General features: G+C 43.7%; 1 annotated feature.

The window, feature by feature from the left end:
• Positions 15,334–15,403: an enhancer, noted in NCBI's record as "active region_21096". NCBI's record gives its function as "activates an Ori minimal core promoter by ATAC-STARR-seq in GM12878 lymphoblastoid cells {active_cell/tissue: GM12878}" and the evidence as "EXISTENCE:reporter gene assay evidence [ECO:0000049][PMID:35858748]".

The following is a 16,282-nucleotide window of genomic DNA, read 5'->3' on the forward strand; positions in this document are numbered from 1 at the left end:
GAACTGAGCATATGAGGGATCTAGGCTGCATGCTCCCTATGAGAATCTAATGCCTGATGATCCATCAGTGTTTCCCATCATCCCCAGATGGAACCGTCTAGTTGCAGGAAAACAAGTGCAGGGCTCCACTGATTCTACATTATGCTGAGTTGTATAATTATTTCATTATATCTTACAACGTAATAATAATAGAAATAAAGTGCACAATAAATGTGATGCACTTGAATCATCCCAAACCATCCCCCACCCCCAGTCCATGAAAAAATGGTCTTCCAGGAAACGGGTCCCTAGTGCCAGAAAGGTTGGGGACCGCTGCCGTACAGTATTCCATTTCACCAACATACTACCGTCTATCAATTCTTCTGTTCACGACCATTTAGGTTGTTTCCAATTTGTGATTACAAACAAAGCTGGAATGAATTCTGTATGTATGTGCTCTAGTCTCTAGAATATACATTATGAGAAGCGGCATTCTCAAGTTCTGGCTTATGCTCATCTCCGCCTTTGTTAGATATTGCCTCATTGTTCATCACCATCAATATTTCTGTTTATCAAGCAAGGGACGAGGGCAAGCAGCAAAAATAACACATGGTACAGGTATGTTTCAACCTGCAGGTGTGAGGGGATGCATATAGTGCCCAAGATTCTCACCATTTCATGGGGAAGAGTGCTTAGGCTAGGCATAGCTGGACACATCATGTGTTCTGTACAAGAGAGGGAATATAAAATTCCTTGTTGTCTCACGCATTTATAAAGTATTATGGAGGGCAGGCGCCGTGGCTCACGCCTGTAATCCCAACACTTTGGGAGGCTGAGGCAGGTGGATCACCTGAAGTCAGGAGTTCAAGACCAGTCTGGCCAACATGGTGAAACCCCGTCTCTACTAAAAATACAAAAATTATTCATGCGTGGTGGTGGGCACCTGTAATCCCAGCCACTCGGGAGGCTGAGGCAGGAGAACTGCTTGTACCTGGGAGGCAGAGCTCGCAGTGAGCCGAGATCACACCAATGCACTCCAGCCTGGGCAACAGAGCAAGACTCTGTCTCCAAAAAAAAAAAAAAGAATTATGGAGGAATCAGAGATCATCTGACCAAGGTGTCTTTGCAATTCAGGTTTCAGCCTTTCTGGCCTAAGAAATAATGTTAGAAACAACCCAATAATCCAGACAGTTTATACATGAGGGGGTTTGTGGCCCTCCCTGAAGAGCCAGCTTATTGCTAGGTTACCTGAAAAAAGACTCACAAGGGTCATCCACTTAACAAACTTGTTTATCCCTCTGCATTACACCTCTGGCCCTGGCGATTTATTAAACAGGCTTTCCGACCCAGGGCTTGTATTAGTTGACAACATCGTGACAAGTTTGCATCATGGGCCATGAAAGGCATAAAAGGTATTTTGAGGCTTCTGTCCATATCTGTAAAACAAAAGGAGAAATAGTCTTTAAAACATTTTTAATATAGGTTTTTAATCTATCTAGAATTTATTTTTGTTATGGAGAAAGTAGAAATTTCATTATTAAATACATACTGTTAATATTGTATCCTGCTCCTATTTATTGAATAGCTTATGCTTCCATTGATTTACAGTGCCTCCTCTGTCACATATCAAGTTTCCATATGTACATATACATGGGCCAGCTCCTGGACTGTCTGATTCTTTTGGCCTCTTTGTCTACACATAGGCTAGTACTATACACTCTTAGTTGTTCTCACTTTATAATCAATCTTAGGGTTTTTGTTTTGTTTTAGAGTCACGGTCTTGGTCTGTCACCCAGGCTGTGGTACAGTGGCATGGCCATAGCTCACTGTACCCTTGAACTCTTGGGCTCAAGAAATCCTCCCATCTCAGCCTCCCTAGTAGCTGGGACTTCAGGTGTGCACCATGACACCTGGTCAATCCTTTTTATAGATCTTTTATAATGTTTTAAATAAGCTTTTTTCTAGGGCTGGAGTCTCACTATGTTGCCAAGGCTGAGCTCGTATTCCAGATCTCAAGTGATCTTCCTGGGATCGTAGGCTGGGATTACAGGCATGAGCCCTGTGATCACGGCTCACCGCAGCCTCTGTCTCCTGGGCCCAACTCCTGATCTTGAACTCCTTGGCTCAAGTGATCCTCCCACCTCAGCCTCCCAAGTAGCTGGGACTACATGCACACACCACTATGCTGGCTAATTTTTTTGCATTTTTTTGTACAGACAGGGTTTCACCACATTGCCCAGGGTGGTCTTGAACTCCTGGGCTCACGCAATCCGCCTGCCTTGGCCTCCCAAAGTGCTGGGATTACAAGCATAAGCCAGGGTGCCCAGCCCCAGTCTTCATTTTGAAAGAGCAATTCCCTCAAACTTTTGGTTTTAAAAAATTGTTTTGGTTATTCTTGGCCCTTTACTCTTCTATATAGATTTTAGAACGTACCTTGTGAAGTCACCTGGAAGTTCTGTTGGGATTTTTATTGAAAATTGAAAATATAAATCAATATGCATGTTGAATCAATAGACTTGGGAAGAATTGGTATCTTTATGATGAAATGCATTCTCATCCATGACTGTAGCATATCTTCATCATCTTTTATGTCATTCAATATTGTCTTTGAAGATCCAATAAAAAGATAGGGTTCTCTGCTTGGGTTTGGCCCCTGTAGAGGCCAAAATATTATCTTTATTGCTGGTAGCGACCAGGTTAGAGGACGTAGCTTTAGGTCTGTTAGCTGAGTGTTTAGTAGATCAAGGCAACAAATATACAAACAATTTGATAAACATATATATATATATATAAAACACCGCCAGCAGTTTGCTCCCCAAAAAGAAAAGCAGAACTAACATATCCAGATTATTCTTCCTAAATTTACTATTTAACATCACTCTGTCCTCCAAGGAGCAGAATGAGTAAAGAGGCAGAGAGACTGAGACTATCACACCAATAGAGGTCCTTGAAATGAATGGAAATCTTAGGAGTAGGAACTAAGCATGCTTTCCTCACAGGCATCTAAGTTGTTTGTGTACAGATCCTTTGCCCATTTAAAAAATGAGTAATTTGGCCGGGTGGAGTGGCTCATGCCTGTAATCCTAGCACTTTGGGAAGTCGAGGTGAGCAGATTGCCTGAGCTCAGGAGTTCAAGACCAGCCCGAGCAACATGATGAAACCCCGTCTCTACTAAAAATATTTAAAAAATTAGCTGGGCATGGTGGTACACACTTGTAATCCCAGTTACTTGGGAGGCTGAGGCACAAGAATTGCTTGAGCCTGGGAGGCAGAGGTTGCAGTGAACTGAGATTGCACCACTGCACTCCAGCCTGGGTGACAGATTGAGACTCTGTCTCAAAAATAAAAAATAAAATAAACTAAAATAAAAAATGCGTAATTTGTCTTTTTATTGTTGAGTTGAAGTCCAATTTATTTACTTCTTTTGTCACTTGGGCTTTTGGTTTCATATCTAAGAAACCATTGTCTAGTTCAAAGTCACAAAGATTTACTCCTTTGTTTTCTTCAAAGGGTTTTACAGTTTGATCTCTCACATTTAGGTCTATGAGAATTTAGAATTATTTTTTTGTTTATGGTGTGAGGTAGGAATTCAACTTCATTCTCTTACATGTGGATATTCACATGAACTATAATCTGTTCAATCATTTCTCCTTTACTGTTATTTTCTTCTGAGGCTTTTAAAAGGGGATATATTAGAGACCCAATGTATTGTCTCGATTGCCTAGCTGATGTCACATATTTTTTACTTGAAAAAATGTCTTTATCGTGTTTACTGCTCTGTCTTGTGTTAATTCACAAATTTTCTCTTTGTGCTCAGTATGGAGTTTATTCTATTAGATTTTAAAAGTCATTAAACATATGTCATGTTCGTAAGATTTCTAACCCATTTTTTTCTCATTTAAAAATAAACTAATGAATTTACTATTTTTGAATATGAAACATAGGCACACAGCACAGAATTCAAAGAATAAAAAATACAATGATGAGGTTATTGGCTTTAAAAATATTTACCTGTTCTTGTTTCATTTTTGTTAGTTCTTGTTTCATAACTTTGTTATAATGTGTGTTATTTATAGAGCTATAAGTGTGTGTGCAGGGGGAGTTGGTAGAAGACAACATAGGTCACAGCCTGTGCAAGGAAGAATAGTGGGAGACAGAAATAAAGAGGTAAGTTGGGGTCAGTTTGTGGACTTTGGAATAAAAGGGAAGAAAACAGTTGTCGAAGAGTATGAAGCTTATTATCTTAGCCATGTAGTCTTTGAATAATTTTTTTACCACTTAATAAACATTGTGCTTTAAGAAGGCTAAAATGCTTCAGATATACCAAAGGGAGGAGATGGGTAGTCTAGGCCTCATTAAAAGGCTTCCATCTCAGGTGGGTACCCAACCACCTTATACTTCCTTGACCCCTTTTCACAGGCCTGTATGCTGATTATAAGCCAGACGTTTCAGACATTTTGTGAAAAGATTTTAGTGTCTGGCTATATTTAAATGCTCTGTTTTATCACTTACCCTTCAAAGTCCCCTCCTCTCCTGCCCCTGATGTGGCCACTCTGAAAGGAGTCCCTCTCCCCGGGATCCAACAGTGTTCTCCCAGCAGGGGGCAGCAGCGGCACATGTCAGGTGCCCAGGGGAGGGTGGGGTGCCAAGGGGTGCCCTGTGGGGAGGAGCTTGCATGAGGAAACACATGGAATGGAAAAAGTAAACTAGTTCCTCAGTCCCACTTCAGAGTCAAACCCGCACCTGTGGTGAGTTGAGCCACAAATATGTTTTCTCTAAAGCTGGCAGCCGTTTATTTTGGAAGGAGGAAGATGCACTCAATACTATTGAGGACCTGGCTTTTTTTTCTTTGCTTTTTCCTAATTTCTTATCCTCTGCTTCGGCCATAAATGTTCTAGTTTCTCTCACTCTTCTCTTTCCCTTCCTTCATGTCCAACATTTTCCCATTTTTTTCCCAATGGTCAGGAGTATAGGTCTGGCCAAATAATCACCTTCTAGTAATAAGAATATTTCTGGAAATAAGAAACACAGCATAAGGGAAGGGAAAAGCTGGTTGGCTCCCCCAGTTCCTCACCTACCCCAGAGGCATCACACTGATCTCCAAGACTATCATCACCCGGAAGGCAAAGGCCTCTCACAATTTCTTACACATCTCTATGTTCCCCACTCACTTGCTAGACTGGATGAGAACATAGACACCCACCTGCAATCTGGTCTATAGCTTTGTCCACACCCGCATGGCATGTGGAGAAGGAATGCCTGGGGGTAGGACCTGGGGGGCTGGGGATCAAAACACTGTAATGAGGGGTAGTTTTGCAGAAATCCCCAAAAATGTGATCCTAGGACCTTCTCACTGCTTCTCCCTGAAATCCACTGTTACAATGCCCTTATACTATCTCGGTATCTAGGTGTACCACAGTAGAGGCAGCGTGGTAACTGTGTGACCTCTAACCTAGTCCCACCATGGCCAAGGTGACAAACATGTACATGGGAGTTTATCATCTTGGGCGTGGTTGAACTAGGTTAGAGGTCACATAGTTAATTTTGGGCAAGTCACTTGCCTTCTCTGGGCCTCAGTTTTCTTTTCTTTTTTTTTTCTGAGACAGAGTCTCACTCTGTTGCCCAGGCTGGAGTGCAGTGGCGTGATCTCAGCTTACTGCAAGCTCCACCTCCCGGGTTCATGCCATTCTCCTGCCTCAGCCTCCCGAGTAGCTGGGACTACAGGTGCCCACCACCATGCCCGGCTAATTTTTTTGTATTTCTAGTAGAGACGGGGTTTCACCGTGTTAGCCAGGATGGTCTCGATCTCCTGACCTCGTGATCTGCCCGCCTCGGCCTCCCAAAGTGCTGGGATTACAGGCGTGAGCCACCACGCCCGGCCCTCAGTTTTGTTATCTATAAATGGGTATTAATAATGCCTTTCATAAATATCTCACAGAGGACGGGCGCAGTGGCTCATGCCTGTAATCTCAACACTTTGGGAGGCCAAGGCTGGAGGATTGCTTGAGGCCAGGAGTTTGAGACCAGCCTGGGCAACAAAGTAAGACCCCATCTCCACAAAAAATAAGAATTAGCTGGGCATAGTGGTGCATGCCTGTAATCCTAGCTACTTGGGAGGCTGAGGCAGGAGGATCCCTTGAGCCCAGAAGGTGGAGGCTGCAGTGAGCTGTGATCGTGCCACTAGACTCTAGTATGGTGACAGAGTGGCGCCTTGTCTCTAAAATATAATAAAAATAAATACCTCACAGACGTGAGATACTCAAGTAAGATAATAATGTGAAAAGTTTGCATTTATGGTGGAGTGTTTTTAAAACATTATTTATCATTACTAGCTCTTTTTCAAGAGCACTTTGGCCCTTGTCTCATGGGCATGTTGCTTGAATTTCAGCCAAAGGATTAGGTGTTGGGACAAGTTGGCTTAAAAACATCTTTTAAAATTTATTTTAATTTATTTTTAGAGATATGGTCTCTCTATGTTGCCCAGGCTGGTCTTGAATTCCTGGCCTCAAGCCATCCTCCTTGCCTCAGCCTCCCAAAGTGCTGGGATTACAGGCATGAGCCACCAGGCCAGGCCAAAAATTTCTTATCTTTAATTATTACGGATACATAATAGTTGTACGTCTTTCAAATTGAACTCTTGAGGGGTCCAGGGCCATTGAGAGGAAAGACAGCACAGAACCAGGTGGATTTATTTCTAGGGATTTGGCTCCTAGCCCCTTGTCAGGGAAGGTGGCTTCTTTCTTTCCCTGGGGCCAAGAGAGACTAATAGGGAGATGTATCTCTAGAATCCTAGGTCTGAATGAGACGCCAATGGGTCATTGGTTTTAGGTGTTTTTTTGTTTTTGTTTTTGCCCCTCAGGTAAGGCTACATCGAAACCACACTAAGAGGATCAGAAAGAATATATGTTAAATGTTTCCAAGGAGATTCTATATTCTTTCCAGGTAATTCAGGACTAAGGATGTTTTACAGCGAGTTCTTCTTTTTAGCCTTTTGGCTGCAATTGAGGGTTGAAAATGCTTTGAGGGTAGTCTATTCATCTTTATATCCTGTCCAAACCCAGCACAAACAGGCCCTAGGGTCCCGTCTATTGACCTGAACTGCATTGTTCTGCTCTGCCTGGAGCTAGGAAATATGCTGGTCACTATTTTTTGTTGGCTTTAAATATAGTATTTGCAAAGTTCAAAACAAATCTTATGATCATTTGGCTTGTGGCTTCTCTCCTAAATCTCCCTCCTTTTAGAATGGTCAGGATGGGAGGAGGACGTGCCAAGACTGAGCTTCTGTTTCTTTTCAAGGACAGTCCCTGCAATGGCTTCGTTTGACCTACCCTCCCTTTTCTTATCAAATGAAATCAGCTACCACAGGAAATTGACTTCTCCAGATTGTAGGAGACAGGAAGCAGCACCACAAAGCAGGTTCCAGGGAGGGAAGGCAGAGATGAGAGAAACAGCTCGAGTCCCAGCTCGGTCAGTGCCTGGCCCCGGCCTCGCTTTCCGCCTCTCTGTCTCATTCTTACCATCTCTAGCCTCACCTACCCTTCTTCTGGGTCCTGGTGTCTGAGGCTGAAAGGCGCTGTAGAAGTCTCCAAGGCCAGCCTCCCTCCCCACTCAGTCACTCCCAACAAGCCTTCCAGCCTGTGCTTGACCCTTCCAGGCATGGAAATTTTACTGCTTCCCCTAAGAAACCAGCTCTGTTTTGCCTTTTATCCATCTGAAACCTCCCTCCTCCAGTGTTCTTCCACTGGCCTCACTTTTCCTTGGGACAGCCCTTTCCATACCTGAGTCTCCAGGCTAAGCCCTCCCGGGGAGGTCTCTTGGTAGAGGCATGAGTTTCTCAGAAACTCAACCAGAGGGAGTCAGGAAGGGGTCTAAGCAGGAAGGAAAAGGTGAGAACAATGCCATCGTGGGCCCTTTCCTTGCCAAGGAGTTATGTGTGGTGGCTTTAACTTGATGTTTAGTACAACTTCAACGTGCTTTTCTTCTCCTGCATGACTACTGCCTTGTGGGAAGAGTGTCTTCTCTTTTAGCTCACTTCATTAATTTTTTATGAAATATCTAAATACATATATAAAGGTGTCATGACATTCCACTCCTAAATACTTCAGTGTGTATCTTTAAGACGTAAGAATATTGGCCGGGAGCGGTGACTCATGTCTGTAATCCCAGCACTTTGGGAGGCCAAGGTGGGTGGATCACCTGAGGTCAGGAATTCAAGACTAGCCTGGCCAACACGGTGAAACTCCATCTCTACTAAAAATACAAAAATTAGCCAGGCGTGGTGGTGGGTGACTCCAATCCTAGCTATTCCAGAGGCTGAGACATGAGAATCACTTGAACCCGGGAGGCGGAGGTTGCAGTGAGCCGAGATCACACCATTGCACTCCAGTGTGGGTGACAAAGCGAGACTTTGTCTCAAAAAAAAAAAAAAAAAAAAAAAAAAAAAAGAATATGTTCTGCATAGCCAAAATCAAAATATAACACCCAACAAAATTAACTATAACCTCCCGACATTATTTAATACTTAATCCACAAAATTTCCCCAGTTGATTCCAAAATGTCCTTTACTGCTGTTTTGTTCAAACCAGGATCCAATCCAGGACCACGCATTTCATCTGGTTGTTATGGAACTTAGGGCTCTTTTATGGATGATGCTGATAAATAGAAGGAAGCTTCATTGTTAAAGTGCTCTCTTTTTAAAAATTCATATCAGGGCCAGGTGCAGTGGCTCACGCCTGTAATCCCAGCACTTTGGGAGGCCGAGGCAGGCGGATCACCCGAGGTCAAGAATTCAAGACCAGCCTGGGCAATGTGGTAAAACCCTGTCTTGACTAAAAATGCAAAAATTAGCCGAGCATGGTGGTACACACTTGTAATCCCAGCTACTTGAGAGACTGAGGCAGGAGAATGGCTTGAACCCAGGAGGCGGAGGTTGCGGTGAGCTGAGACCACGCCGCTGTTCTCTAGCCTGGGCAACAGAGTGAGACTCCATCTCAAAATAAAATAACATAAAATAAGTAATCAGGCTGGGCACAGTGGCTCACTCCTGCAATCCCAGCACTTTGGGAGGCTGAGGGGGCAGATCGCTTGAGGCCAGGAGTTTGAGACCATCCTGGGCAACCTCGTCTCCTCAAAAAATACAAAAATTAGCTGGGCGAGGTGGCGCATGCCTGTGGTCCCAGCTACTCGAGAGGCTGAGGTGGGAGGATCCTTTGAGTCCAGGAGGCAGTGGTTTCAGCAAGCCGAGATCATGCCACTGCACTCTAGCCTGCGCCACAGAACCAAACCGTCTAAAAAAGAAAGAAAGAAAAAAGAAAAACCAAACAAAATACATATCATATATCATCAACATAGTTCATTACGCCATTATTATATCATCAGTATAGTTCACATTACACATCACATGACAGTGGTACCACTCAGACGCCATGAACCTTCTACTTGAGACAGTTAAATTCAAGAATAATTTTTTTGGCCGGGTGCGGTGGCTCATGTCTGTAATCCCAGCACTTTGGGAGGCTGAGGTGGGCGGAGCACCTAAGGTCAGGAGTTCGAGACCAGCCTGGCCAACATGGTCAAACCCCATCTCTACTAAAAATACAAAAATTAGCTGGGTGTGGTAGCCGGCGCCTATAATCCCAGCTACTTGGGAGGCTGAGGCAGGAGAATTGCTTGAGCCCAGAAGGCAGAGGTGGCAATGAGCCGAGATCATGCCACTACACTCCAACCTGGGCAACAGAGCAAGACTCCATCTCAAAAAAATAAGATTAAAAAAAAAAGGATAAATTTTACAAGACTCCATCTCAAAAAAAAAAAATTTTTTTTTTTTTTTTTTTTGAGATGGAGTCTGGCTCTGTCACCCAGGCTGGAGTGCTGTGGTGCAATCTTGGCTCACTGCAACCTCTACCTCCCAGGCTTAAATGTTTCTCCTGCCTCAGCTTCCCAAGTAGCTGGGACTACAGGCGCATGCTACCACATCCAGCTAATTTTCGTATTTTTAGTAGGGACGGGGATTCACCATATTGGGCAGGCTGGTCTCAAACTCCTGACCTTATGATCCGCCTGCCTTGGCCTCCCAAAGTGCTGGGATTACAGGTGTGAGCCATAGTGCCCAAGAATAATTTTTTTCAAGAAGTATTCAGTCTATAGAGTCCCAGTAACAGAGGTAATAAACATACACATGGTAGTATTTCAAATTCATGAATTTGTTCAGCTTGGGAGCAATGGGAATTTAGCTTTTTCTTTTATCTTTTTTTTTTTTGAGATGGAGTCTTGCTCTGTTGCCCAGGCTGGAGTGCAATGGCACAATCTCGGCTCACTGCAACCTCTGCCTCCTGGGTTCAAGCAGTTCTCCTGCCTCAGCCTCCCGAGTAGCTGGGATTACAGGAGCCCGCCATCACACCTGGCTAATTTTCGTATTTTTAGTAGAGATGGGGTTTCACCATGTTGGTCAGGCTGGTCTCAGACTCCTGACCTCTAGTGATCTGCCCACCTTGGCCTCCCAGAGTGCTGGGATTACAGGCGTGAGCCACCGTGCCCAGCCTAGAGCTTTTTCATGTTTATTTATTTATTTATTTATTTATTTATTTATTTATTTTCAGAATAACCTGAAATTTATTCTAGTTATATTGGAAAAAAGAAAATCCTCAATCACTATCCACATCATACAACATACCAATTCTGACTCAAATGCCGACCTACATTTTTTTTTTTAGACTGATGGGGTATATGCGCATGTTTGTTACATGGTTTTTTGTTTGTTTGTTTGTTTTTGTTTTTTTTCTTTTTTTTGAGACAGAGTCTTGCTCTGTTGCCCAGGGTGGAGTGCAGTAGCACGATCTCAGCTCACTGGAACCTCTGCCTCCTGGGTTCAAGTGATTCTCCTGCCTCAGCCTCCTAAGTAGCTGGGACTACAGGCACCCGCCACCACGCCTGGCTAATTTTTGTATTTTTTTAGTAAAGTCAGGGTTTCATCATGTTGGTCAGGCTGGTCTTGAACTACTGACCTCAAGTGATCCTCCCACCTTGGCCTCCCAGAGTGCTGGGATTCCAGGTGTGGGCCACCGCACCTGGCCACATGGGTTATATCGCATTATGGTGAGGACTGGGCTTCTGGTGTACCCATCACCCAATAGTGCACATTGTACCTAATAGGTAATTTTTTGCCCCTCATCCCTCCCACCCTCCCCCCTTCTGGAGTCCATTCCATCTTCATGTCCATGTGTGCCCATTGTTTAGTTCCCACTTAGAAGTAAGAACATGCAGTATTGGAGTTTCTGTTTCTGAGTTAGTTCACCTAGGATAATGGCCTCCAGCTCCACCTATGTTGCTGCAAAGGACATAATTTCATTTTTTTTTTTTTTTTGAGACAGAGTCTTACGCTGCCACCTAGACTGAAGTGAAGTGATGCGATCTCAACTCACTGCAACCTCCGTCTCCCTGGTTCAAGCGATTCTCCTGCCTCAGCCTCCTGAGTAGCTGGGATTACAGGTGCGCGCCACCATGCCCGGCTAATTTTTGTATTTTCAGGTGAGACGGGGTTTCGCCATGTTGGCCAGGCTGGTCTCACACTGCTGGCCTCAAGTGGTCCACCTGCCTCAGGCTCCTAAAGTGCTGGGATTACAGACGTGAGCCACCGCGCCCGGCCACATTTCGTTCATTTTTATGGCTGCAGTTACAGTGTTCTAGCTGGTTCTTCTGTGTCCTTTATTTCCTATAAATGATCAATGAGATGTTAACATTTGATTTAATTCAAGTTAGACACTTTTAGCAAGGATATATCCTAAGTGCTGCTGGGTGCTTCGTGCGCACCATGGTGGAAGACATATTCTGGTTGTTCTCCCATCAGTGATGCTAATATTAACCCCTGCATTAGTGCTAACAGTGTGACCCTCTGATTGTGACCCCTTGATTGTGACCCCTTTATTGTGACTCCTTTATTGTGTTTCTTTTCCTCTCTTGTGACCAAAGAGAAGTCTGCATGGTTGCTGTTGCATCACACAAATGTCAGGTGATGTTTATTTTATTTTATTTATTTTTTTTGAGACGGAGTTTTGCTCTTGTTGCCCGGGCTGGAGTGCAGTGGCGCAATCTCGGCTCACTGCAACCTCCGCCTCCTTGGTTCAAGCAATTCTCCTGCCTAAGCCTCCCAAGTAGCTGGGATGACAGGCATGCACCACCACGCCTGGCTAATTTTTTTTTTTTTTTTTTTTTTTGGATTTTTAGTAGAGATGGGGTTTCTCCATGTTGGTCAGGCTGGTCTCGAACTCCCAACCTCAAGTGATCTGCCTGCCTCGGCCTCCCAAAGTGCTGGAATTACAGGCGTGAGTCACCGCACTCAGCCAAGTGATGTTTATTTAAAAGTCACAATTGGTCAGAAAAAGAAAAGGCAGATATGTTAGGATTCTCAAGGACATATATACAGAGAAAGAGATATTTTTAAGGAATTGGTTCACATAGATTATGGAGGTGGGCTAGTCCAAAATCTGCAGCGTGAGCTAGCAGGCTGGAGAACTTCCTCTTCCTCCAGGGAGCAGTCTTTTTGTTTCAGGCCTTCAGCAGACTGGATGAGGCCCACTCGCATTATGGAGGGTAATCTGCTTTGCTTAAAGTCCACTGATTTAAATGTTAATCTTATCCAAAAATATCCTCACAAAGACATCCGGAATAATGTTTAACCACATACTGCTCTGAAAAGTCAATGGGTTCATTTTTTTTCTATTAAAAAACCCCACCACATATCTCGGCATTGTGGCCCAGCTAAGCTGACATGTAAAATTAAGATATCACAGCAGCGCTGAGAGATGGAGCTTCCGTCTCTGCTACTGTGTTCTGTTCTTGTGTAAATAATGTAACACTTAGGGCCTCAGTTTTCCTCTCTGTAAAACAAAGGGTTTGGACTAAAAGATCTCTAAGTTCCCTTCCAGCTTTAAAGTTCTTTTAAAAATTGTGGTAGGACAGGCATAGTGGCTCGCGCCTGTAATCCCAGCAATTTGGGAGGCCGAGGCGGGCAGATTGCTCGAGGTCAGGAGTTCGAGACCAGCCTGGCCAATATCGTAAAACCCCCATCTCTACTAAAAACAAAAATTAGCCGGGTGTGGTGGTGGGCACCTGTAATCCCAGCTACTCAGGAGGCCGAAGCAGGAGAATTGCTTGAACCCGGGAGGCGGAGGTTGCAGTGAGCCGAGATCGCGCCATTGCACTGCAGCCTGGGCGATAAGAGTGAAACTCTGTCTCAAAAAAAAAAAAAAATCGTGGTAAAATACATGTAACAAAAAATTACCATCTTAACCATTTGTAACAGTACAGTTCAACAGTGTTAAGTGTATCCCCACTGTTGTTCAATCTCCAGGAGTGTTTCATCTTTCAGAATGAACTCTCCATACACTAAACATTTATTTCTCCCTCTCCACAGCCCCTGGATGCTTTCAATGCTTGTGGGTATATTCCCATAAGCAGAATTGCTGGGTTCTGTGGTAATTCTTATTATAAGGTTTTAGGGAGCTATCACACTGTTTTCTATACTGGCAGCACCATTTTATATTCCCACCAGTAGTGCACAGGACTTCCAGGTTCTCTACATCTTTTCTAACACTTGTTGCTTTCAGGTTTGTGTGTATGTTTTTTTGTTTTTGTTTTTGTTTTGTTTTTGTTTGTTTTGGTTTTTTTTTTTTTTGAGACGGAGTCTCCCTTTATCACCAGGCTGGAGTGCAGTGGTGTGATCTTGGCTCACTGCAACCTCCGCCTCCCGGGTTCAAGTGATCCTCCTGCCTCAGCCTCCTGAGTAGCTGGGATTACAGGTGCCAGCCACCACGCCCGGCTAATTTTTGTATTTTTAGCAGAGACGGGGTTTCACCATGTTGGCCAGGATGGTCTCCATCTCTTGACCTCGTGATCCACCCGCCTTGGCCTCCCAAAGTGCTGGGGTTACAGGCATGAGCCACTGCGCCAAGCCTTGTGTGTGTGTTTTATAGCAGCCATCCTCATAGGTATAAGGTGATATCTCATTAAGATTTTGATTTGCATTTTCCTAATGATTAGTGCTGTTGAGCATCTTTTCGTAGGTTTGTTAGTCATTTGTTTATCTTTTTTGAAGAATTGTCTACTTAAGCCCTTTGCCCATTTTTAAATGAGGTTGTTTTTGTTGTTGTTGAGTTATAAAAGTTCTTTATATATTCTGGATATTAACTCCTTATCAGATGTGTGATTCACAAATGTTTTCTCCCGTCTCATGGTTTGTCTTATCCCTCTGTTGATTGCGTCCTTTAATGCACATAAACTTCTTTAAGCCTGTGAAATTTGGGGTTGCAACTCTTCCTCCCATCTGTGGCCCATGGCTGCAGGCTGAGGACCTTAACCTCTCTGTCCTAAATGAGTGGTATGCCTGCCCTCCTATCTCTTTGATGATACATATTTCAGAATAGAACTCTAAGTTCTTATTGCTGGAATCAACTTTGGAATTCTTGTCCAACCTCATTTTACTCATGGACAAACAAGGCCCTTTGTGAGCAACAGAGCTGGATCTAAAGTGTGAGCTTCTCTCTCCTTCCGGCGCTCTCTGCACTGCGATGCAACTCGACAAGTCAGCTGGTCTTTGTAATGAACTCCTCAGGAAACACAAGCAATTACAGGAAAAGACAACCAGGCTATTAAGAGGGAATTTTATTCTATTGAAACTCTGTTATGGGGAAACGTGTGTGTTTGTTATAGGTAATCTATTTACATTTTCAAAAACCTTTTTTTTTTTGGTAATTATTTTATTTTATTTTATTTTTTTATTGATCATTCTTGGGTGTTTCTCGCAGAGGGGGATTTGGCAGGGTCATAGGACAATAGTGGAGGGAAGGTCAGCAAATAAACAAGTGAACAAAGGTCTCTGGTTTTCCTAGGCAGAGGACCCTGGGGCCTTCCGCAGTGTTTGTGTCCCTGGGTACTTGAGATTAGGGAGTGGTGATGACTCTTAACGAGCATGCTGCCTTCAAGCATCTGTTTAACAAAGCACATCTTGCACCGCCCTTAATCCATTTAACCCTGAGTGGACACAGCACATGTTTCAGAGAGCACAGGGTTGGGGGTAAGGTCACCGATCAACAGGATCCCAAGGCAGAAGAATTTTTCTTGGTACAGAACAAAATGAAAAGTCTTTCAAAAACCTTTTTACTTTCTAAAAGCAACTACACATATTCTAGGACTGCAAGTGCTGTTTTCTGGTAAACGGGGAGTTGCTTAGAAACCAGGAATGAGGGATGGAGACCAACGGTCTTCTGTGGATGAAGTATAAACAGTAACTCTTCTAAGGAATCAGTACTAACCTTGGGAAGAAGATGAGCATGATTTTTCTCTGTACAACCTCTACCCCTCTTCTGATGAAAGCACCTGCTTTTCTTTAGGGCCTACTCCATCAACAGGAGCCCATGTCGTTTGGGTGGAGCTTCAGGAATCGGCATATGAGTCAGTCCAGAAAAATAGGCACATCCCACCCGCCAACCACAGTGACTGATTGCGGAAGAGGCACTTGACCCCAGGTCACACAAGGGGGTTCCGTCCTGGGACTTTTGCTGCACTGTTTTGAAAGAGGCCTCTTTCCCCCTGGTATTGCTAGACTAGCAGGCCATGGGCCCGAAACTGCCAGAACGCACCCTTGATGCCACCCGGGTAGAGTCAGGGGAGAGCAGGGCTGAGAGTTGGAGACACAGATTCCTGAAAGCATTGTTTGAGCGCGTGGATCCAGTCTTGCTTTAAATCAGACTTTTTAGTAACATGAACCGATCAATTCCTCTGCTACACCAGTTTGAGTTGGGTTTCTATCACTAGTGATTAAAAGAGTCCTCATTAGTCCAGATTGTACTTTAAGTTGCTTGTATACATTATCTGGAGGAGAGTATAAAAATAATAGGCTATAAATAGTGAGACTAATATTAAGTTATTTTAGGTAATAAAAAGTCAAACTGATGGGAATAGTTCTGTGGGGAAATTGTGTGAAGCTATGTTAACAGTAAGAAAAGTGACTAGGTTTTGGTGTAAGTAAATGCCTGGTCACACATTCGGGAAATAATAATTTAAGTTCTATTTCTAGTATGACACATTGCAAGGCAAAGAATAAGTCATTAAGGGCTCTTTAAGAACATTCAGTGCAAAGATGCTACTGCACATAACATATTAGAAAAGTATAATAGAAGTAAAACAGGTGACAACGTTTAAAAAAACAAACAAACAAAAAAAAACAGGTGGCCAGATGCAGTGGCTCACGCCTGTAATCCCAGCACTTTAGGAGGTCGAGGTGGGCAGATCACTCGAGGTCAGGAGA

This window comes from Homo sapiens, chromosome 3, assembly GCF_000001405.40.
Source record: "Homo sapiens chromosome 3, GRCh38.p14 Primary Assembly".
Lineage (NCBI taxonomy): Eukaryota > Metazoa > Chordata > Mammalia > Primates > Hominidae > Homo > Homo sapiens.